The sequence below is a fragment of the Homo sapiens genome, chromosome 1, assembly GCF_000001405.40.
Source record: "Homo sapiens chromosome 1, GRCh38.p14 Primary Assembly".
NCBI lineage: Eukaryota > Metazoa > Chordata > Mammalia > Primates > Hominidae > Homo > Homo sapiens.
Window position 1 is genome coordinate 151,440,621 of NC_000001.11, and position 23,406 is coordinate 151,464,026.

Below are 23,406 nucleotides of genomic sequence, written 5' to 3' on the forward strand. Positions count from 1 at the left end.
AACCAACCAACCAAACAAAAAAATCTTAACAGGAATTTTGGGTTGACATTTTCTCTCCAAGAAATTATCAATAGCAAGAATCTACTGCTCTCTCACTTGAAACACCAGTACCGAGTCAGCACTAACTTAGAAGGAATAGCACCATCTACAGAAATCACTTCCGTATCAGAGAATCATTACTAAATTCATTTTCCAACTAGTAGAACCACATCTGTACCTAACTAAACAGGTAGGGCTGTCCCTGAGACCTTTTTTATTCTTTCACCCCTCTAGCCCAGGATTATTATTTCCCAATAATCCCACTTACCATTGTTGTTGGCAATTAGTGTGACAAGAGTCTTCTTTGTACTGTCGCTGTTCTGTGCCCCGCTGCTACTAACGGTGGTGGATGTAGAGAGGTGCCCAGCAACAGAAGCATGGGCAGCGATGGGCACTGGAGCCGAGACTGGCTGCTGGCTCACAGAAACTGTGGGGAAGGGGAGGCATAGTCACTTGGAGACAGGGACAGATGACACTAAAGGATACTGCTCTAATCTTCCCTTTCCATCTTATTGTGGGTCTCTATAGCCAAAAAGTTTCCTGTTTCATAAATCCAACTGTTCATGTGATTTCTCCTCCTACTTAACCCTTAGTCCACCATTTAAACACAATCCCTTCTTCGTCTCACATCTCCTGGTTAATTAAGTTACATCACGGAGCCCACTGAACTGGGATTTTAATCTTTGCTTACATAGCACTAGCAAACCTCTAGGACTCAAAGGTTTATTATTACCACTAGTGGTATTCATAATCATGCATATTAAGCCATCCAAAAGACCCTGAACTGTGCCCTATTTCAGCCCAAACCAATGCCATCTTCAGGTCTCAAGACAGGAAAGATAAAAATATAGAGCAACTGGTACAATTTAGGGGAGCAAAAGAACTACCACCCATTTTCTGAATTCAGGGCAATCTAGAATTTGACCCAGCAGTATCACCTTTATGAAAGAAAAGCTAACAAGCCTAAATTTGTAAACTGTCCATGAAGGCAGACACAAGGCAATTTCTACTCCACTCACAAAGGAAACCAAGTTCAAGTAAAACAAAATAAAACAAAAAAAACAAGACTATGGGAACCTATTTTTGACTGGGTACATAAATGAGCACTGACACACACACACCACCACTTTGAATTCTTGTTCATACATCTTTTAGTAAGAAGACTGCTAGATATTTGATAAACACTGGTTAATCCAACCTTCCAATGTTTTCGATGAATTAAATATATAGTTTCTAGCTATATGGATGAGGAAACTGAGGTTTTCACAGACTAGAGCATGGGAAAAAAGGCAGCACCAGTGAGTGCCACAACGAGGTCTCCCTGGATTCTTCAAGTCCTTTTCCATCTCACACTTTGTTAACCAAAATACCATTCAATTTAATTAATTTAAACCATCTAAGATCAGAAGAGCTTTTGTTACCTGTGGTAGTTTTATCCACTGAATTATAATCTTCAACTACAGAGTCCTCAATGACATCACTGATTTTCTGCCATGGCTCCAACTCCTCCTCCTCACATTCCATGAACAGGTCGGTGTCCGCCATGCTATAAGAAAAACATTCAAATAAGATATGGGCCTAAGAATAGGAGATATTGCTTTATACCAAATATGAAATCAGAACTTTGACTCCATTGGTAACCTACCTCCTTGGACTCCTTTATCATATCCTCTAGCCTTCCTCCATTTCCAAGGGTTCAGAATTACAACTTCTATTATTGAATATTAGAATCCATTCCACAGCAAATTATTTAATAATTAGGGTTACAGGCCGGGCATGGTGGCTCCCACCTGTAATCCCAACATTTTGGGAAGCCGAGGGAGGTGGATCACCTGAGGTTGGGAGTTAGAGAACCAGACTGGCCAACATGGCAAAACCCTGTCTTTACTCAAAATACAAAAATTAGCCAGGCGTGGCGGTGCACCCCTGTAATTCCAGCTACTTGGGAGGCTGAGGCACGAGAATCGTTTGAATCCAGGAGGCAGAGGTTGCAGGGGGTCAAGATCACAACACTGCACTCCAGCCTGGGGGACAGAGTGAGACTCTGTCTCAAAAAAAAAAAAAAAAAAATTAGGATTATAAAAGTTTAGGCCAGGCACAGTGGCTTATGCTTGTAATCCCGGCATTTTGGTAGGCTGAAGTGGGTGGATCACGAGGTCACGAGTTCAAGACCAGCCTGGCCAACATGGTGAAACCCCATCTCTACTAAAAACACAACAATTAGCCGGGCACGCTGGCAGGCGCCTGTAATCCCAGCTACTTGGGAGGCTGAGGCAGGAGAATTGCTTGAACCCCGGGCAGCAGAGGTTGCAGTGAGCCAAGATCGCACCACTGCACTCCAGCCTGGGCAATAGAGACTCCGTCTCAAAAACAACAACAACAACAAAAAGTTTAATGTGTAATACCCAGGGCCAGGGTTAGGATGAGGACAGTGAGGTGAGTCAAGCAAGTGCAGGATCGGATTCAGTCTTTATTTAAAATAGATATTCTGTTCATTATGGATTGTTCTGCATTAATATTGATCTTTTAAAATGATGCATTAAAATGCATTTATTATGATTACTGAACCTCTCTGTACTCCTTTAAATTTTGCATCTAAGATGAGAACCTTACTTGTCATACTCTAGTCCCAGTCCTACTACTACCTTGTACGTCTAGTCTAGGAAATCCTGGAGGCCATTCCACTGTGATTTCGGAGTCAACCCTTAATTTGAAAACACTGCCTAAATTACATGTCCCTTTAAAAAATTAAAGTCTGAGCCGGGTGCAGTGGCTCACGCCTGTAATCCCAGCACTTTGGGAGGCCGAGGTGGGCGGATCACCTGAGGTCGGATCACCTGAGATCGGGAGTTTGAGATCAGCCTGACCAACATGGAGAAAACCCATCTCTACTAAAAACATAAAATTAGCCGGGCGTGGTGGTGCATGCCTGTAATCCCGGCTACTCGGGAGGCTGAGGCTGGAGAATCGCTTGAACATGGGAGTGGAGGTTGCAATGAGCCACAATTCACGCCACTGCACTCCAGCCTGGGCAACAACAGCGAAAGTCCATCTCAAAAAAAATAAAAATAAATAAAAACAAATAAATAAAGTCTGTATCTCTGCATTGCAAACAAAGAGTTAATGCTATTCTGCCCTCCAATAACAGTTTACTAAGGGTCAGTTTCTCTGTGTTGGAACGGGAGTACTATTACTGCTCAATGTTCAAACAAAGCCTTTACTGTAAGGCTCTAAGTGTCCTTAGTGTCTTAGTAATTCTGCTGCTACATCCATAAGCGAAAACCAAAACCAAACAACCAACCTAACCATTCTGTTTATTGAGTATTTAGTTAGGGCTATACATCCTGACAGTAGCAGTTTGCAAGAAGCCCAACAGATGGCATTGTTTCGCTTGAAAATTGAAAACAATCTTGCAGTGCCCCAGTGAGTCAGCTATAGCCAGGGGCACTCTGGGTTTTAATGGGTAAAGTGCTTAACTGGATTCTAACTGGTCTTTAATCTTCTATTTTAATTATTTCTGTCTTTCTAAACCAAAGCCACAAAGGGGGTGAGGAAAGAAAAAGATCTAAGGGATCAACTTACTTAAATTCTCTTATTTTCAGGCTTAATTATATGAAGACAATACTAGCCAGAAACTGAATTAAAAAGAAATCAAATCCATATCACAGGTATTCTTTGAGACAAAGACAACACATGCCTTTGTTTTCCAGTCTAATTCCACTACAAAATATATTTTCAAAAACTTTTTCCTTAAATACTTAATTTTATTCCATTGTTCTTTGCTGTATAACTTTCTGAGAGCTTAGTCAACAGATAATTAATGCGCAAATATCCAACACCCAGCAGAATGAATATAAACTGTGGACAATAACCTCTGCCGATGGTTTTCAAGGACCTACTTTTGTCCTGACCACTTACAAGCAAACTCTCCACACATATGAAAACTTTGATTTGGAATATGAAGAGCTATCAGAATACAAATTGTGGTTTTCAATGTCATGCCTGTGGTTATTTTAATAGCATACCCAAAAGGGTGTTCTTTTATCTTAAGTATTTACAATACCTTAAGAGTTTCAGTTCTTTATTTTATAAAGCAATGAATTTTAATAAGAATATTGAAATTTCTTCCATTTGACCTTCTGAGAGAAATGGAAAGAACTCCAGCTTGGGTAGCACAGCAAGACTCCATCTCTACAAATTTTTTTTTAAAAATTAGCCAGGCGTGCAGCACACACCAGTGGTCCCAGCTACCAGGGAGGATGAGGTAGGAGGATTGAGGATCGCCTGAGCCCAGGAGTTCGAGGTTACAGTGAGCTCGAGGTTACAGTAACTGCAGTGGTGCCACTGCACTCCAGCCTGAGCTGGAGAGCTGGAGAGCAATACTCCATCCCTACAAAATAAAATAAAAAACAAATGGAAATAACCAAAAAGGGTAGATCTGAAAAGATGGCAAAGAAAGATGTTTATGTCCTAACTACTTTTTAATCAAGTGAGAAAAATATCTCTTCTCCTTAGGTATGAGTACTGCCAAGATATCCAATGTAAATTAAAAGACTCAAAATGAAAAGAAAATCCAACTTGGCTGGACACAGTGGCTCACATCTGTAATCTCAACACTTTGGGATGCTGAGAAGGGTGGATCATTTGAGGTCAGGAGTTCCAGACCAGCCTGGCCAACATGGTGAAACCCCACCTCTACTAAAAATACAAAAATTAGCCGGACATGGTGGCACACGCCTGTAATCCCAGTTACTCAGGAAGCTGAGGCAGGAGAATCGCTTGAACCCAGGAGGCAGAGGTTGCAGTGAGCCAAGATCACGCCACTGCACTCCAGCCTGGGCAACAGAAGCCAGACTCTGTCTCAAAAAAAAAAAAAAAAGAAAAAAAGAAAGAGACAAAAAAGAAAGAAAAAAAAGAAAATCCAACTTATGGGGAAATATTTTTCATTTTTTTTTAAACAACATAGAAGATGGAGTTAGCTAATAAGGTTTGTCAACTCAGAAAATATTAGGTCTGCTGACTGAACATATTTCACAGACTTATACACAAAGCATCTCTGAAAGACACTGAAGCCAAATTTTTCAAAACTGTCCTTGATTTTGACCTACACTCTGCTATCTCAGGATGTGATCAATTCCTTTCACTTTCAGCATCTATAACTCAGGGTCTAAAAGATACAACAGAGATATATCAACCTAATATAAATATTCAGCAAACCAAAAATAGAAAATTCATATTTAGATCCTTCTTGTAGTTTTCTAGTTATCAAAAGGAAATCTTATACTAACATAATAAAATGCAGTATTTAATATTTCTACCAAGATTCTCAAGAAACACCACCATTCTCTGTGGTCTTTCAAGTGATCCATGGCATACCGTCTTTCAACTTTTTTTTTTTTTTTTTTTTAGCCCCGATCATGGGCAAGGGCAGCCTTTCAACTGTTTTTGAACAAAGAAGACAGTAATTACTAAATATGCAGTGTTAACATGTATATCCAGATTCTGAAAATGTGCCCTCAAAAAAAAAAAAAAGATCTTCCCAAACTATCATTCCACACATTTAACCTCCTTCCATACCAAATCTTTCTCATAAGGAAAAAAAAAAAAAAAAAAAACGAATTTTATTCCCTCTTCCCTAATTTCTTGCTATGAAGGATTGGATACTTATCACACTAAAAAAATTATGCTGAAATGTAATCCTTAAGGGGCATTTTAATTTCTCATTTTTTATTTCAAAACTGCCAAACAGAAATGCGAATTTCAGATATTTAAAGCCAGCCCATAGTGAATACAGTGCTACATCAAGAGGAAAACGGCCGGGCGCGGTTGCTCACGCCTGTAATCCCAACACTTTGGGAGGCCGAGGCGGGGGGATCACCTGAGGTTGAGAGTTCGAGACTAGCCTGGCTAACATAGTGAAACCCCATCTCTACTAAAAATACAAAAATTAGCCAGGTGTGGTGGCACACGCCTGTAATCCCAGCTACTCAGGAAGCTGAGGCAGGAGAATCGCTTGAACCTGAGAGGTGGAGGTCGCAGTGAGCTGAGATCGTGCCACTGCACTCTAGCCTGGGCGATAGAGCAAGACTCCATCTCAAAAAAAAAAAAAAAAAAAAAAAAGGAAAACTTGGATGGGCAGTAAATTTGGGAATCATACTGCAACAAGTGAACAGGCAAATTTTCATACGAGTCTCTGAATCAAAATTGTAGTGGTTCCTTTTCTGCTAATTTTAATGATACAAATTTTAATTGAATAAAAAAGTTAGACATGTATTCGTCACTCAGTTTCAAAAATTATCAACTCAAAATGGATTCCTTCATTTATGCCCCCACTTCCCTGTATTATATTGAAACAAATCTCTAAAACATCATATTCATAAATATTTTGGTATGTAGGTCTAAAAGATAAGGACTTTAAAAGACTATAGTTTAAAAAAATTGTATGGCTGGGCGCGGTGGCTCAAGCCTGTAATCCTAGCACTTCGGGAGGCTAAGGCGGGCGGATCACATGAGGTGAGGAGTTTGAGACCAGCCTGGCCAACACGGTGAAACCCTGTCTCTACTAAAAATACAAAAATTAGCCAGGTGTGTAATTCCAGCTACTCAGGAGGCTGAAACAGGAGAATTGCTTGAACCCAGGAGGCGGAGGTTGCAGTGAACCGAGATTGTGCCACTGCACTCCAGCTTGGACAACAGAGCAAGACTCCATCTTAAAAACAAAAAAATTGTATTACCATTACATGCCTAAAAAACTGATAATCCCTTAATATCAAATATCTAGTCATTATCCCAATTTCTTTTTTCTCTTCTTTTTTTGTGAGATGTGGTCTCATCCAGGCTGGAGTACAGTGGCACAATCTCAGCTCACTGCAACCTCCACCTCCCAGGCTCAAGAAATCCTCCCACCTCAACCTCTTGAGTAACTCTTGGGACAAAGAGCTAACTAACTCTTGGGATAACCAAGAGCCACCATGTCTGGCTAATTTTTTTTTTTTTTTTTTTTTTTTTTTGGTAGAGAGGGGGTCTTACCATGTTTCCCAGGCTGGTCTCAAACTCCTGGACTCAAGCAACACACCTGCCTCAGATTCCCAAAGTGCTGGGATTATAGGTATGAGCCACTGTGCCCAGCTTTTGATGTGTTTTGATCCATGCAGTTATCTTTACAGATACTCAATGTGCCCTATTTTGGCCAGTGGGAACGTCTTCAGTTGGCTGCTGAGTCCTTCTGACACAACCCTAGCATCGTTTGATAAAATCTTTGCTGATAGTCAAGATGTTTCAGCTTATCTCATATATTTCCTGCCCCAGACCTAGAACCAACCATTTCTTCAAGGAATGATACTGGTGGGGAATGAGTTTCCAAGACCACAATAAAAGGCTAGGGTCCTTCTTGCTCATTTTAAATAAAAAATTACCTCCATATGAATCCCCAAGTATTAGCTATCTTCAACTTTGCTCTTACGTCATCTGACAGAAAAATTCCACATCCACAAATATATTTCTTAGAAACCTAAAAAAAAATTTTCTCCTGAAATTTTTACTTGAAATGTTTGTCTTATATATTTAGTAAACCACTCATTACTTCCCCTCTTATCCTATCCTGACTGTATGTATTCCCCTAACAAAATACCTAGATCATTAAGATAATTTATATGTAGTTAAGAAATTTTGGCTGGGTGTGGTGGCTCACATCTGCAATCCTAGCACTTCGGGAGGCTGAGGTGAGAGGATTACCTGAGTTCAGGAGTTCGAGACCAGCTTGTGCAACAGAGAGAGACCTCATATCTATTAAAATTTTTAAAAAATTATTTTAAAAAGATAAATTTTAAGAAAAATATAATCAAACAATCAAAGGTTAACAAAGAGGACACATTTAGTTTAATCAAGCCTTTTAGCAAGTAACTTTTCCAGACTATCTTTTCTTTGCCTGTAATCCCACCACTTCAGGAGGCTGAGGTGGGAGAACTGCTTGAGCCCTAATTCTTTGAGCCCAGAGGTTCGAGACCAGCCTGGGCAACTTGGTGAAATCTCATCTCTATAAAAAGTAGAAAAATTAGCAGAGTGTTGGTGGCATGCACATCTGTAGTCCCAGCTACTCAACAGGCTGAGGTGGGAGAATCTCTTAAGTCCAGGAGGTGGAGGCTGAAGTGAGCTGTGATCGAGCCACTGCACTCCAACCTGGGCAACAGAGCAAGACCCTGTTCTCAAAAACAAACAAACAAACAAACACGCAAACAAACAAAACTATCTTTCCTTGAACACAAGATATAGACAGATCATGTCAAACATTTCAAACGAAATTCTCAACTATTCCTAAGCTAGTAAGGATCTTTTTCAAGCAAATGCATGAGGGGGTGGTGGCAGAGGTGGAAAACAGAGATTTAGATACAGCAGAAAGCCTACACCTTTACTTTCAAAACAAGAGCTCATTTCGAACCTTCAATTAAATTCCCAATAGTGCTAAAATATTTCATCATATTCCAGTGTTCTCCAACATATATCAGGCACCGCCCAAGCTATACACTACATCTGCAGAAGGGATTCATTCAACACCTGTACCTAGCTTACATCAAGGGAACCCTAGTTCATAAAAGGCATAAATAAATAATTAAGGAATCTTCATAAGTGACAGTGAATTTTATCAGAGGTCACGTTTGCCCCCCAGAGGGCATTTGGCAATGTCTAGAGACATTTTTGGTAGTCACAATCAGGGTGGGGGTGAGGAGAGGTGTTACTGACCTATCTAGTGGGTAGTGGCCAGGAGTGCTACAGAACATCCTACAATGCATAGGATAGCCTGGAGATTATCCGACCCTAAATGTCAATAGTGCCAAGACTGAAAATCACTGATCAAACTGAATACATGTTCTGAAAACGAGGGCAATTAAAAAAAAATCATCCCACATTCTATACATAAAGAACTATCATTTCTTTTTAAAAATATTTGTCCTCTCAGGCCAGGCACAGTGGCTCACGCCTGTAATCCCAGCACTTTGGGAGGCCGAGGTGGGCGGATCACGAGGTCAGGAGATCAAGACCATCCTGGCTAACACGGTGAAACCCCGTCTCTATTAAAAATACAAAAAATTAGCCAGGCGTGGTGGCGGCCGCCTGTAATCCCAGCTACTCGGGAGGCTGGGGCAGGAGAATGGCATGAACCTGGGAGATGCAGCTTGCAGACTGCACCACTGCACTCCAGCCTGGGAGACAGTGCGAGACTCCGTCTCAAAAACTCTGCAAGAGAGCAGAACAAGGTTCTTATGAATTATTCAAATGGTTATATCTTGTATGTTAAAAATTTTTTTATAAAATCCATATATATCTAGTCTGTTTCATCCTATAATCACCTACCTGTGAAACTTGATTTTTTTTTTTTTTTTTTTTTTTTTTGAGACGGAGTCTTGCTCTGTCACCCAGGCTGCAGCGCAGAGGCACGATCTCGGCTCACTGCAACCTCCGCCTACCGGGTACAAGTAATTCTCCTGTTTCAGTCTCCCAAGTAGCTGGGACTACAGGTGCCCACCACCACGGCTGGCTAGTTTTTGTATTTTTAGTAGAGATGGGTTTTCACCATATTGGCCAGGCTGGTCTTGAACTCCTGACCTCAGGTGATCCACCTGCCTTGGCCTCCCCAAAGTGCTGGGATTACAAGTATGAGCCACAGCACCCAGCCAGGAACTTGATTTTATCTTCATATTCATCTGACAACTTTTAGGTCACAGGGTCTTTGTCGCCTGGGCTGTAGTGCAGTGGCGCGATCTCAACTCACTGCAGCCTCGACCTCTTGGGCTCAAGCAATCCTCCCGTCTCAGCCTCCCAAGTAGCTGGGACTACAGGCATGTGCTACCACGCCTGGTTAATTTTTGTATTTTCTATAAAGCTAGAGTTTTGCCATATTGCCCAGGCTGGTCTTGAACTTCAGGACTCAAGTGATCTGCTTGCCTTGGTCTCCCAAAGTGCTGGGTTTTACAGGCATGAGCAGTCGTGCCCAGCCTCCCCAGTTCTAAATTTTTTCTTGTTGTGGCCCCTTTACAATTCCTCTACAGGTTACTTTTGCTACATATAAACTCTTCTAGCTTCTTCAACTTTCAAATCATTTTTGCAGAGGGCAATGCCTCAAAGTGACAAAATGGAAACCTATTTCTATGTTCTTCCTCAAAAATCTTATTTATGGTTGAACTTAAAAGTTACAGTAGCTCTGTATCTCAAAAGCCAAAGGTTATGATTGTAATATGTTTAAATAGAAAAACCTTAGCCAGGACCGGTGCAGTGGCTCACGCCTGTAATCCCAGCACTTTGGGAGGCCGAGGTGGGTGGATCACTTGAGGTCAGGAGTTCAAAACCAGCCTGGCCATGACCATGACCAGAGATGTGGTGAAACCCCGTCTCTACTAAAAAAAAAAAATACAAAAATTAGCCAGGTGTGGTGGCACACGCCTGTAATCCCAGCTATTCAGGAGGCTGAGACAGGAGACTGCCTCAAAGGGAAAGAAAAAAGAAAAACATTAACCAATAAACTACTGACTAATAATTCACATTAGTTATCAGCTGTTTTGTCTATGGCATTTTTTTGCAAACAAATACACAAGAAAAGCCAAAAACAATGTATGAAGTATTACTGACAATAATATTTAACCTGAATCAAATCAATTATTTATTTATTTTATTTTTTTTTAAATTTTTTGAGATGGAGTTTCACTCTTGTTGCCCAGGCTGGAGCCCAATGGCGCGATCTCAGCTCACTGCAACCTTCACCTCCTGGGTGCAAGCGATTCTCTTGCTTCAGCCTCTCAAGGAGCTGTAATTACAGGCATGCGTTACCATGCCTGGCTCATTTTGTACTTTTAGTAGAGATGGGGTTTCATCATGTTGGTCAGGCTGGTCTTCAACTCCTGACCTCAGGTGATCCACCCGCCTCAGTCTCCCAAAGTGCTGGGATTACAGGTGTGAGGCACCGCGCCTGGCCCAAATCCATTATTTAAATGTAACTTTGCGTTTACAAGAAATACAGCAATAAAAGAACAAATTAAGTATCACCACAAAGAAATAATGAGATAAATCCAGAAGGTGGGACATTCTAGAAGGAAATAATCAAATGCAGAATATGGAACATTCTATAAAACTAATAGAAGTCTCTTTAAAAATGTCAATGTTCGGCTGGACGCGGTGGCTCACGCCTGTAATCCCAGCACTTTGGGAGGCCAAGGCAGGTGGATCACCTCAGATCAGGAGTTCGAGACCAGCCTGACCAATATGATGAAACCCAGTCTCTACTAAAAATACAAAAATTAGCCGGGCGTGGTGGTGGGCACCTGTAATCCCAGCTACTCAGGAGGCTGAGACAGGAGAATTGCTTGAACCCGGGAGGTGGAGGTTGCAGTGAGCCGAGATGGTGCAATTGCACTCCAGCCTGGGCAACAAGAGCAAGACTCCGTCTCAAAAAAAAAAAAAAAAAAAAAAAAAGTCAATGTTGGCCGGGCATGGTGGCAGGCCAAGGTGGTAGGATTGCTTAAGGTCAGGAGTTCAAGACCAATCTGGGAAACAGAACCGATCCCTCTAAAAAATTTTTAAACAGAAAGGATAATCATATTATATTCATGTAGGAGAATGTATTTATTCCTAGGAAATGCACAAAATATTTAATAGAAATATCTTGAAAGTGACTTTCAAGGGGTTAAGCAAATACATAGATATTTGGCTTTTTTTTTTGAGACAGGGTGTCATTCTATCCCCCAGGCTGGAGTGCAGTGGCACAATCACGGCTTATTGCAGCCTCAACCTCCTGGGCTCAGGTGATCCTCCTGCCTCAGCCTCCCAAGTAGTTGTCACTACAGGTGGGCTATTTTGATATTTTCTTATAGATACTAGTATGCCAACTTTCAAAAAATATTTGGCATGGGCCAAAACATTAAAAATCATCCTGTCACCAGGCGCAGTGGCTCACGCCTGTAATCCCAGCACTTTGGGAGGCCAATGCAGGCGGATCACAAGGACAGGAGTTCGAGACCAGCCTGGCCAACACAGTGAAACCCCGTCTCTACTAAAAATACAAAAATTAGCCATGCGTGGTGGCTGGTGCCTGCAGTCCCAGCTACTCGGAAGGCTGAGGCAGGATAATCGCTTGAATTCGGGAGGCAGAGGTTGCAGTGAGCCAAGATTGTGCCACTGCACTCTAGTCTAGGCAACAGAGCGAGACTCTGTCTTAAAAAAAAAAAGTCACTCTGTCTAGGTGGTGGATAGTTTAAGTGTTCCTTGTAGAATTCTTTCACCCTTTTCTTTTTTCTTCTTTTTGTGATGGAGTCTCGCTCAGTTGCCCAGGCTGGAGTGATCTTGGCTCACTGCAACCTCCACCTCCCAGGTTCAAGTGATTTTCCTGCCTCAGCCTCCTGAGTAGCTGGGATTACATGCATGCGCCACAACGCCCAGCTAATTTTTGTATTTTTAGTAGAGACAGGTTTCACCATGTTGGTCAGGCTGGTCTTGAACTCCTGACCTTGTGATCCGCCCATCTTGGCCTCCCAAAGTGCTTCGGTTACAGGTGTGAGCCACTGCGCCCAGCCTCTTTCTCCCTTTTCGCATGCGTGAAATTTTCTTAATAAAAACTGAGGTGGGGTAGGAGGGAGTGGAACTACCTACTCATATCTTAGCTGTGATATTCTGTACTGCTACATTCCACCTATCTCTTTGGTATTTACTAAATAACTGGTAGCCTTGTTGGTTGAATTTCTTGATTTATTCCCAGGACCAATTTTCATGTAGCTTGTATATATACATTTCTCTTTTTTTATTTTTATGCATCCATTTTCACTTAATATACATTTCTTAAGACATAGCAAAATAGTTAAATAAGAAATAACAAATTAAGGTGGATTATGTAGGCTACCAAGGAGGTACATTACTTTCTTCCATTAATCCATTATTTGACATCTTGGTAACCTAGGTGGTTTCTCTATTTTGTAGTAATTGTAACATGATTTTTTTGTGCACTCAATAGGTTTTACTTAACACTGCAGGCTCACACAGAACTATTAGCAATACTCAGTCTCTTGTCTCATCCTTCAATCCATAATATGGGAGTACCAGATAAATACTCTCCTGGAGGGAAGGGGACTATTTCTTAAATGCTGGCGAATATGGTAGTCTATACTAAGGCCCTATATGATCAGCTAGTCAATAAAAGTCTATATAATTGTAAAGGCAAGATAAAAACAGACCTTTTAAAACAATATACTATTTAAAAGCAGCAAAAAGAATCCTGCAGATACACCTGTATACTTTTAAGGTATTTAATGGGCAGCAAATGTTGCCTATCTTCATCTCAAAGAAAATGAGAAAAAGATCTGTTTTCCACAACTATCCTGACATACTTGGTTCTTGAAAGCTCTGAATTCCTTTGTCTTGTTCTTTCATAGCTGTAAAGTCCAGAAATGAAGAATGAAGAATTCAGAAATGAAGAATTTGGTATCTAACGTTTTCAACTTACTGCCAGTACATACCTGCCCAAAAATCAACATAAAAAGAACATTTGGAACAGGAAAAATATTTTACAGAAAACAAACATTTTAAGAATACCACTTTCTTGTTCCAGGGTGAAAAATAAACAATGATAATCCTCAACATAACTGGTAATTATGTTTTCAAGTTACCTCAATTTTTGGCTCTAAAAAGGACTAATACCAGAAAACCTATAGGGCTGAATACTTAATCTGTGTATAAAACTATAGTTAAACATGTAATAAGCTTTTATTTATCCAGTCTTTTGCACAGCCCATTTTGTCCCTCACAACATCTGTTATAGTACCTCATATGTAAGAATCATAAGGGTTTTAAGTAGTCTTAATAACCTAAAATTTCCAAACTCAAAATACTTTCCTCTTGTCTGGTAGCCAATCCTGTATCAAGAAACACCCAAATATTTAGTTCTGTGCTCTTTACTAAAACAAGTAAGCAACAAGTTCTCTTCTTTAAAGGGGTTCAATATTCAGGAGTCCCTTTCCCAAGAAAAATATCTATACTATGATGGAAAACTTTTCTTCAATGACAGCTGTGTGTTGCCTAAATTCCATTTCTATGCTTTCAATTTCTTTTAACTCTGCTAACACCTAGCAATAGGTTAGTGTCTCTTTTCTGCTCTCCTCCCCTTGGTTACATATAAAAATACGTTTTTCAGTTGGGCGTGGTGGCTCACGCCTGTAATCCCAGCACTTTGGGAGGCCAAGGCGGGTCGATCAAGAGGTCAGGAGTTTGAGACCAGCCTGATCAATATGGTGAAACCCCATCTCTAGAAAAATACAAAAATTACCCAGGTGTGGTGGCGCGTGCCTGTAATCCCAGCTACTGAGGAAGCTGAAGGAGGAGAATCGCTTGAACCCAGGAGGCGGAGGGTGCAGTGAGCCGAGATTGCGCCATTACGCTCCAGCCTGGGCAATAGAGCGAGACTCCATCTCAAAAAAAAAAAAAAGACAAGTTTTTGTGAATATGGCTTAATATCACAAACAAGAATACCAAAGAATCTATCAAAATGTTACCATATTGATATTATGGCAAAGGCATTAACCAGCTCTAGGATTTGTAATCAACCAGCTCTAAAGTTTTTATTTTACAGATAAGGTCAAAACAGTGGTTTAGAGAGACGAAGTAACTTCCTCAAGGTTACAGTTAGTAAATATCCCAGTTAGGATTCAAAGCAAGCTTTTTTTGCTTTAGAATTCTTCCCCAGGTCACTGCCTCTTCCATCAACTTCAACTATTTATAAATTCTCCCAAGTTCCCCAAGGGAGTTAGATTTGAATGATGTAAAGAGCAGAAACATAGGACTGACTGAATGATTCTCATTTTTTTGACTCTTAAAATTATTGAAGACGCCAAAGATCTTTTGTTTATGTGAATTTTATCTTTCCACATTTACCACAAATTTTTAAAATGTAGTATTTATCAATGTATTTTAAGACAAGCCCATTATAAGTTAACATAAATAACATTTCAACAAAAAATACTTTCCCTCCAAAAAGTGAGAAAAGTAACGTTGTTTTGCATTTTGCAAATCTCTTTTATGTCTAACTTGATAAAAGATGGTTGGATTCTCACAGTTACTTCTGCATTCAGTCTGTTGCTATATGTAGCTTTGGTTAAGTATATAATGAAAATCTAGTCGGAAAAGGGAGAAGTATTTTAATAACCTTTTCAGATAACTGTGTTTGGTAAATACTAAAACTCAACAAACGGTAGTTTCTTTCTTTTTTTTTTTTTTTTTTTTTTTTAATAAATAGAGACAGGGTCTCACTATGCTGACCAGGCTCAACTCCAACTCCTGGGCTCACACAATCCTTCCACCTTGGCCTCCCAAAGTGCTGGGATTACAGGAGTGAGCCACCACGCTAGGCCAAATAGTAGTTTCTTAAAGGACAGTTAACATTTTGGAATCTGAAACCACATCAATCCACTTTTTTACTGTTAAAATCCATTGCTATGTCTGGAATTTTCAAAGGATCTTTTGCCTTTGCTTGATTTTGCAACATCATGCATTGGTCATTTGCAAAGCCTAGATTTACTGAGTTATGCCCATCTTCCAAATAACATATTTCATTAAACAACATTTTAAAATATTGCAGTCCTTAACCACTGATATCATAAGGAAAGTCTTTTAAGTACTAGGAAGCTGTCAAACTCCAGCTGTCAACTTTTTAAAAATTCTAATTTTCACCCAAATTTTATCACTGGTAATAAATACTGTCAGTTGTTTTCCTAAAAGTGACAAGCTCACTTCATTTTCAAGAAATATCTGCCAAATACTAAGTGTGAAAAACCATAGTCTGCTAGTCGTTCTTTCAAGTAAAAATGCTACTCCATGAAATAAGCCATTCATTCACAACCCAATCTCACAAATGCTTTTCCTTCATGACAACAATCACACCTCCCTAGGCAGCATAAATGCTTTATCCATGTTTATTTAATCACAAATTCTTAAAAATTAAAAAGACATGTAGTCAAAAGCTAAGACTTAATAATAATAGGCCGGGCACGGTGGCTCATGCCTGTAATCCCAGCACTTTGGGACGCCGAGGCAGGTGGATCGCCTGAGGTCCGGAGTTCGAGACCAGCCTGGCCAACATGGCGAAACACTGTCTCTACTAAAAATACAACCAGGGAGGAAGAGATTGCAGTGAGCCGAGATAGTGCCACTGCACTCCACCCTGGGCGACAGAGCAAAACTCCGCCTCAAAAAAATAAAAATAGAATAATAAATTTTACTGCTTCAAGGGCATTCTCAAGTAGTTTGGTGCCCCTGACTTGCTTTGTGCTAAGGTACCGCCAGTAGTTTTACCCAGCCTTGCTTTTGAACCATCAGTGTATCAGTGAAAACAATAAATAGCATCTTACTATTATTTTGAAAATAGTTATGACCTTGAGGCTACCCTGAAAGGGTAAGAGGAGATCCCCATGGGTCATCTGTCCACACTTTGAGAACTGCTTTCCTACATTATACCACTAGTTCAAGATGGGAGTGGAAACTCTAACTAAATCAGGTTCGTCCCAAGAGTCCATTCTGTTACCTCCTTTAGTTTGAGATACACCACCAACACAGCTCTGGAAAAGGGAAGGAAATCAACGGCACAAGGTGTCACTTGTTTCAACATCTTGAACACTTTTATGTTAGACCAGTAATTCTCAATGTAGTGGTTACATTAATCAGTCTCAGCCCCAGGACTGCTCATTTGAAAATGTAAAGATGACAACCCCCCTCTGCTCCATTCAAATAAATTTGGGGGATGAGGCCCCCCAAATTGTACGTTTAACCACCTTCAAGTTACTTTTTATGCACCCCGAAGTTGAGAACGATTGTGCTAACAGTTCGAATTCAGAGTTCAAGCTCTCAGACCCTGAGCAATAGTGTCTCAAAATTAATCGTTTGCCAACGAGCAGCCCTCCCTGCCCCCTCCGTTTCCCTTTCCTCTAGTTGGGTAAATGCCTACAGAAGTAAAACCCGGCCGGGCGCGGTGGCTGACGCCTGTAATCCCAGCACTTTGGGAGGCCAAGGCGGGCGGATCACCTGAGGTCAGGCGTTCAAGACCAGCCTGGCCAACATGGTGAAACCTCGTCCCTACTAAAAATACAAAAATTAGCCGGGCGTGGTAGCACATGCCTGTAATCCCAGCTACTAGGAAGGCTGAGGCAGGAGAATCACTGGAACCCGGCAGGCGGAGGTTGCAGTGAGCAGAGATCGTGCCACTGCACACCAGCCTGGGCGACAAGAGTGAAACTTCGTCTCAAAAAAAAAAAAAAAAGTAAAACCCCATTTCTGTGGAGTTTTGAGCGGCGGTAAGAGGTGTCTACGGGCTTGGAAGGACGGGCTACACCGCTTGCATCAAGACGGCGGCTGCTGTGAGATAGTCCAACTGCATCTTAGTTTCCATTTCGAAAATGAGACTGGCCACTAAATGACTCTAAGGACTCATCAGCACTACCTTTTTCTGAACTAAGAATGTCTAAGACAAGTGCTACTAGCAGTTTGAGAGAATCCCACATCTGGAGAGGAAGGAAATAAGAACAACACGCAGAAAGACGGAAAACAAATAGATCAATGACAGTACTCCTTTGCAAAAGGTGCCAAGAATCTAAATAAAATAGTCCCCGGGATAAACATGGCGCCCACCGCGGCAGGACATAATCACCAGAAAATAAAGATTCCCCGCCTCATTCCATTTTATAAATCACGGCGCCATCCCAAAAGAAATTTGGGGACCGAGGGAGGAGACTTCGTAAACTAGCTGCAGTGCACTAAGGCTTAGGATGTACTATTAGACCAAGCAGAGATTACATAACACAAGGGATCGGCTCAGCAATCACTCATTTTCCTCCTCCCGCTCAAAACGAGCGCCCCACTCCTTCTCGGAGCGGGAATGGGGCGGGGAGGGCCGCGCACCCCCACCCCCAGGGGCCGCTCCGCCGCCGCCCGCCCCTCCGCCGCACGGCCTCGCCCCCTCGCCGGCCCCTCCCGCCGCGCCCCGCCGTCTCGCCACCGCCCGCGCCCCCGCCCCCGCCCCTTCCCCAGCGGGCCACCGCCCGCGCCCGCGCCGCCCACTCCTCCGAGACGCCTCGCGCCGAGCGTGCGTGTGGACGTCGGGCTGTGTGCGGGGCCGTGGGGCGCGAGTGCGCGCGCGCGCGCCGCGGCGGGCGCCGGGGGGCGGGGGCGGCCGGCCAGCCGGCAGGCAGGGACCTCCGCCGCCGGCCCTTCGCGCGGCTCCCGCGGCCCGGGGCGCACGCACACACACTCGCGCTCGCGCGCCGCACCCCGCGGCCGCCCCTGCCGCGGGCCGCGCCGCCACTCGCGGTGGGCGGGGGCGCGCACCGCCGGCCCCCCGCCCCCACCCCCGCGCGTACCGGCCCCATCCCCCTCTCATTGTCTCGCCTCTGAACGCCTCGCCGAGCGAAAAGATAACGGAACCCCCGGGAGCAGGGGGTGGGGAGAGAGAAGGCTCGCTCGCTCACTCACCTCCTGTGGTCGTCGCCGCCGGTAGTCTGACCCGAGGAAGGCGCCGTCGCCTTAAAGGGACCTTACACCCGGCGCCAGAAGGGGGTGGGAGCAGGGGGAGGGGACGGGGGCTTGGGGGGAGACGAAGAAGAGGTAACCGTTGAAAGCTCGTCTCCCCAAGGGTGAAAGGAAGCCTCCCTCGGGTTCGAGTGATTCGGGGTGGATTTTTTTCCCGAGGGGGGCGGGGGGGCCCCGAGGGAGGGGGGTGGGGGGGCCAAGGAATGCGGCTCCGTGTACGGGAGCTGGCGCGGGGGAGAGAGACGCCGACTCCCCCCACCGACCCTCTCGCCCCGCGGAGGGATACGGCTCGTCACTTCCGCCCTCCCCTTTTTCACGGCCTCCCAATTGGTCGGAGCGCGCTGCACGTCATGGGCTCATCCAAACCCCTGCCCGGGCTTCTTTTCTAGTCAAGTTTGGCTGGGCCTGCAAATAAATAAATAAAGGAAAACATTTTTTGTAATGAAAAAAGAATAATTAGCTTCAGAAGCTATATCTAAATTTTGGTGAGAAAAATGAGACTTCCAAAGAAAATATTCCCCAATTTACTTGCCAAGAGTTTCCAAGGAAGTGTTGGGAGGCTCCCCCACTTTCCACTCAAGGCTTAGACCCAGTCAAGAGGGAGACTTCATGACACAGGCCAGGTGGTGAGGCCCAGTGGCACCAACAACTGTCATTGGAACAAAGAACAAAATGGCACTCACTCTTTCTCAAGAGACACTCGGCCAAGTAACCTTGTGGCTGCGGCCTTGTTTAAGTGAAGAACTTTTAAAAGCCATTTTGATCCTCAAGCCCTTCTGGATCCTGGAAAGAAGTGGCACACGATTGTTAAAGCGATTATTGTGATGGAAACTGCTTTGCTCCCATTGTGAGTAGATTCAGCAGAGATCCCCAGTTCCAAGAAACCACACACACTCCACATCCTTATGCTTTTTGCTCCAATCAAGGCTGAGATGGGTTGGCTCAAAGAAATTGGTTAGTCCACTCAAACGACCATCCACCTGTTTATTCTTCCCCAGACAAAAACTACCTCTTTTCAGGTAGCTAAGAAATTTTGTCCTTTATTGCCTTCTGAGATTATAAAAATGTAATATTTTCCTTGAATATTTGAAAATGTTTGCTATTTAAGCAATACACAAATATTTGCTTCAAACCAAATGTGAAATCAAGGTACTTGGTGCAGAAAGGGGAAATCCAGAACTATGTTTATTTGTGCTCTTTATATACACACTCCATTCAAACCACCAGACTGAAAATAGGCAGTGGAAGTAGGCATTCCAAATTGTATGCACCTGCCCGTGTGAGTGTGCACATGTGCATACACATACACACACTGCCACCACCCAGTTTCATTCCATTTCATACCAAAACCATGTGAGTGATTTCCACTAGTGTAGGATGCTTAGGAAGGACTTCATTATTTGAATGAGAAGAATCACTAAATCCTTCTGAAAATACTTCTGAAGACTTTCCAGACCTGATCTGGAGAAGCCCATATTAGGATTATGGGATCAATCACCAAAAGACTACATGAAACTCAAATCCTATTTTATACTGTCGTGTAATTAGTATAATTCATTATATATGTTATATTTACATTATGTATATTACGTTATTAACCTTTGAAAAATTCCAACATATTTCCCCATGCCCTGTCAATTTATTCTCCCAGCCAATGAGATCTAGCGCAGACTATGCCATATACCGTTGACCAGTAACTGTTAGCATGCTTTATTGAAAATGGATCATGCATCCATTCATTCATTCAATGAATATTTATTGGGGGCTGGGCATGGTGGCTAACACCTGTAATCCCAACACTTTGGAAGGCCAAGGGAGGAGGATCACAGCAGTCTGAGGGCAGCCTGGGCAACTTAGCAACATCCCATCTCTACAAAAAAAAATTTTTTTTTTTTAAACAGAGTCTCGCTCTCTCCCCCAGGCTGGAGTGAAGTGGCGCGATCTCGGCTCACTGCAACCTCCGCCTGCTGGGTGCAATTCTCCTGCCTCAGCCTCCTGAGTAGCTGGGACTACAGGCGTGCGCCACGATGCCTGGCTAATTTTTTCTGTTTTTAGTAGAGACGGGGTTTCACCAAGCAGGCTGGTCTCGAACTCCTGACCTCGTGATCTGCCCGCCTCCGCCTCCCAAAGCGCTGGGATTACAGGCGTGAGCCACCGTGCCTGGCCCCAAAAAATTTTTTTCATTAGCTGGTTGTGGTATTCCTAGATACTTGGAAGACTTGGGAGGATCACTTGAGGCCAGGAGTTTGAGACTGCAGTGAGCTATGATGACACTACTTGCACTCTAGCCTGGGAGGGACAGAGCAAGATCCTGTCTCAAAAAAAAAAAAAAAATTATTGAGCACATGTACTAGGCACTGTTTTAGGTGCTGGGAATACAGCAGCAACAACAACAACAAATACCTGAATCTGTGGGATTTATACTCTAGAAGGAAAGAGACATAAAATATACACATAAACAAATTGTTCTATTGTCTATTGTTAAATAACAAATGACCCCGAACTTAGTGGCTTAAAACAACAATTTCATTACCTCTCATGGTTCTGGGAGGTAATTAGGCTCAGCTAAACAGTTCTCACTTGGGAGTCTCGTATGCAGTGGCTAGGGCTGAAGTAATCTCAAAAGCTTCCTTACATGTCTGGAAGTTGAGGTTGACTGTTGGCTTGGACCGCAGCTGGGGTTGTTGGCAGACCATTTACAAGTGGCTTCTCCATGTAGCCTGGGCTTCCTCATATCATAGTGGCTGAGTTCCAAGACTGAGTGCCCCAAAAGGACCAGACAGAGATCGTGACCTAGTCTCAGAGGTCATATAGTGTTACTTCCATTACAGTTACAGGATGGAGAGCATAGATCCCCATCTCTCAACGGGAATAGTGGAAATGTCACATTGTAAGAAAGTGTGCGGAAAGGGAAATCTTGTGGCCATCTTGGAAAATGCAATCTGATATACATTATGTAAATAAATATGGATTATATGAAATGGTGATAGGTGCTATGAAGGGTAAAGGGCAGGATAGGGGAATTAGGAGTGTGGTGCAGACATGGGGGTGGAGAATTTGCTATTTTATGTGGGGTGATTGGAGAAGTCCTTGTTAAGGTGACATTTGGGCAAAGACCTGAAGAAAGTGAAGCAAAGTTTAGGTTTTACCTGTAGTGAAAATGAAGCTGCTGGAGGATCATAAAGCAAGTAGTGACACGGCCTGACTCACGTTTTTAAAGGATCACTGTGGCTGCTTGTGAAGAATAACTAATAGAGGCAAGGGCAGATGCAGGGAGACCAGATAGAAGGCTATTGCAATAATCCAGGTGAGAGTTGATGGTAGCTTGGACCAGGATGGGAGTTGTGAAGCTGCTGCTTCAGGTGATTGAGTTCTGTGGTGTGTTACTTACTCCTCTCTATTTTTCTGTCATTTAGTTTGTGCCCTGGGAGACAGTTTTGACCCATAATGCCCAATAAAATGAGTGATGGTGCTATGCCTGCCACCAAGAATACAGAAAGTCTATCATGCTAAATGTAAAAGTGGGAGTTTTGCAGGATCTGGAGGCACCTTTGAGGAAATGGGTGAGGAAACAGAGGGTAAAGATCAACAGGCAATTAGGGAATGGAGTGTCTTTTGACGTTGTAAAAGGTATCCTGGCCAGGTGTGGTGGCTCATGCCTGTAATCCCAGCACTTTGGGAGGCCGAGGTGGGTGGATTACAAGATCAGGAGTTTGAGACCAGCCTGGCCAACATGGTGAAACCCCATCTCTACTAAAAATACAAAAATTAGCCAGGCGTGGTGGCACATGCCTGTAGTCCTAGCTACTCAGGAGGCTGAGGCAGGAGAATCGCTTGAACCCGGGAGGTGGAGGTTGCAGTGAGCCGAGATCACACCACATCACTCCAGCCTGGGTGACAGAGTGAGACTCCATCTCAAAGAAAAAAAAAAAAAAAGGAAATGATGAGCAAAGACATTTTATACCTTCAGAAGATTTCAAGGAAACTCTGCCACCTTACATTACAACACTGGTGCAGCACTTCAAAAGAGACTATACAGTTAACACTGCTATTTCCAGAAACGTATTCCTTGTGCTAAAGAGAGAATGCTCATATTAATTTGGACAGTGTTGGAACATTTTGCTTCTTCAGCTAAAACACAGGTTTCCAGAGTGAAGTAACAGAACTGATAGCTTTGGTCTCTCTTTTGGACCATCTGGATAATGGTTTGAACCATCTTGATGATGATGGGAAACCCAAGTAGTAGAACAAATAACCTGAATCAGATCCTTAGAAATCAACTCGTATGTGCCTCTGTAACATACTGGGGAGGAATCTGAAAGCCAATCCAGTCTGATATGTTGAAGAAATTTGATCCTAATAGTGGTACTCCTAAAAATTATTCCAGTCTTCAGTAGCCAACTTAGAAACTTTTTCTAAGAAAGAAAGTCAAAGGTTAATGGATGTCCCAAGCTGAGCTTTTCAGTTACATAGCTGGAGAGTGTTTCTTTTCTACAGTTTATGGAAATACTTACTTGCTTCCTTGACTTACGGTTTCTGCCACAAGTTGAAAATTGGGGCTGGGCACGGTGGCTCATGCCTGTAATCCCAGCACTTTGGGAGGCCAAGGCAGGCAGATCACCTGAGGTCTGGAGTTCAAGACCAGCCTGGCCAAAGGTCTTTAGTAGAGATGGTGAAACCCCATCTCTACTAAAAATACAAAAAATTAGCCAGGCGTGGTGGAACGCGCCTGTAATCTCAGCTATTTGGGAGGCTGAAGCAGGAGAATCACTTGAACCCAGGAGGTGGAGGCTGCAGTGAGCCAGGATTGCACCGAGC

The 23,406-nt window shown here is 43.0% G+C and overlaps 1 protein-coding gene across 15 annotated transcripts in view, besides 5 other annotated features; it reads right to left on the reverse strand.

The window, feature by feature from the left end:
- The window catches only part of POGZ (pogo transposable element derived with ZNF domain), a 56,771-nt gene extending 37,897 nt beyond the window's left edge, over window positions 1–18,874 (reverse strand). For 3 of the 15 annotated variants that reach the window (NM_145796.4, NM_001194937.2, NM_015100.4), the window contains exons 1-3: window positions 18,532–18,874; window positions 1,461–1,585; window positions 308–466 (exon numbers count right to left, since the gene is read on the reverse strand). In NM_145796.4, the coding sequence (NP_665739.3) occupies window positions 308–466; window positions 1,461–1,584 (283 nt within the window). In that variant the 5' untranslated portion in view covers window position 1,585; window positions 18,532–18,874. Of the gene's footprint in view, window positions 1–307; window positions 467–1,460; window positions 1,586–10,289; window positions 10,329–13,406; window positions 14,283–18,419 lie in introns of those variants that run through there. The other 12 variants (XM_047450065.1, NM_001410860.1, XM_047450074.1 and 9 more) reach the window with 7 other exon arrangements.
- Window positions 3,313–3,607: an enhancer, noted in NCBI's record as "tiled region #7521; K562 Activating DNase unmatched - State 12:CtcfO". NCBI's record gives its function as "activates a minimal TATA promoter and a strong SV40 promoter by Sharpr-MPRA in K562 cells {active_cell/tissue: K562}" and the evidence as "EXISTENCE:reporter gene assay evidence [ECO:0000049][PMID:27701403]".
- Window positions 3,358–3,467: a silencer, noted in NCBI's record as "silent region_1320". NCBI's record gives its function as "represses an Ori minimal core promoter by ATAC-STARR-seq in GM12878 lymphoblastoid cells {active_cell/tissue: GM12878}" and the evidence as "EXISTENCE:reporter gene assay evidence [ECO:0000049][PMID:35858748]".
- Window positions 17,975–18,024: a silencer, noted in NCBI's record as "silent region_1321". NCBI's record gives its function as "represses an Ori minimal core promoter by ATAC-STARR-seq in GM12878 lymphoblastoid cells {active_cell/tissue: GM12878}" and the evidence as "EXISTENCE:reporter gene assay evidence [ECO:0000049][PMID:35858748]".
- Window positions 18,215–18,264: a silencer, noted in NCBI's record as "silent region_1322". NCBI's record gives its function as "represses an Ori minimal core promoter by ATAC-STARR-seq in GM12878 lymphoblastoid cells {active_cell/tissue: GM12878}" and the evidence as "EXISTENCE:reporter gene assay evidence [ECO:0000049][PMID:35858748]".
- Window positions 19,095–19,144: an enhancer, noted in NCBI's record as "active region_1721". NCBI's record gives its function as "activates an Ori minimal core promoter by ATAC-STARR-seq in GM12878 lymphoblastoid cells {active_cell/tissue: GM12878}" and the evidence as "EXISTENCE:reporter gene assay evidence [ECO:0000049][PMID:35858748]".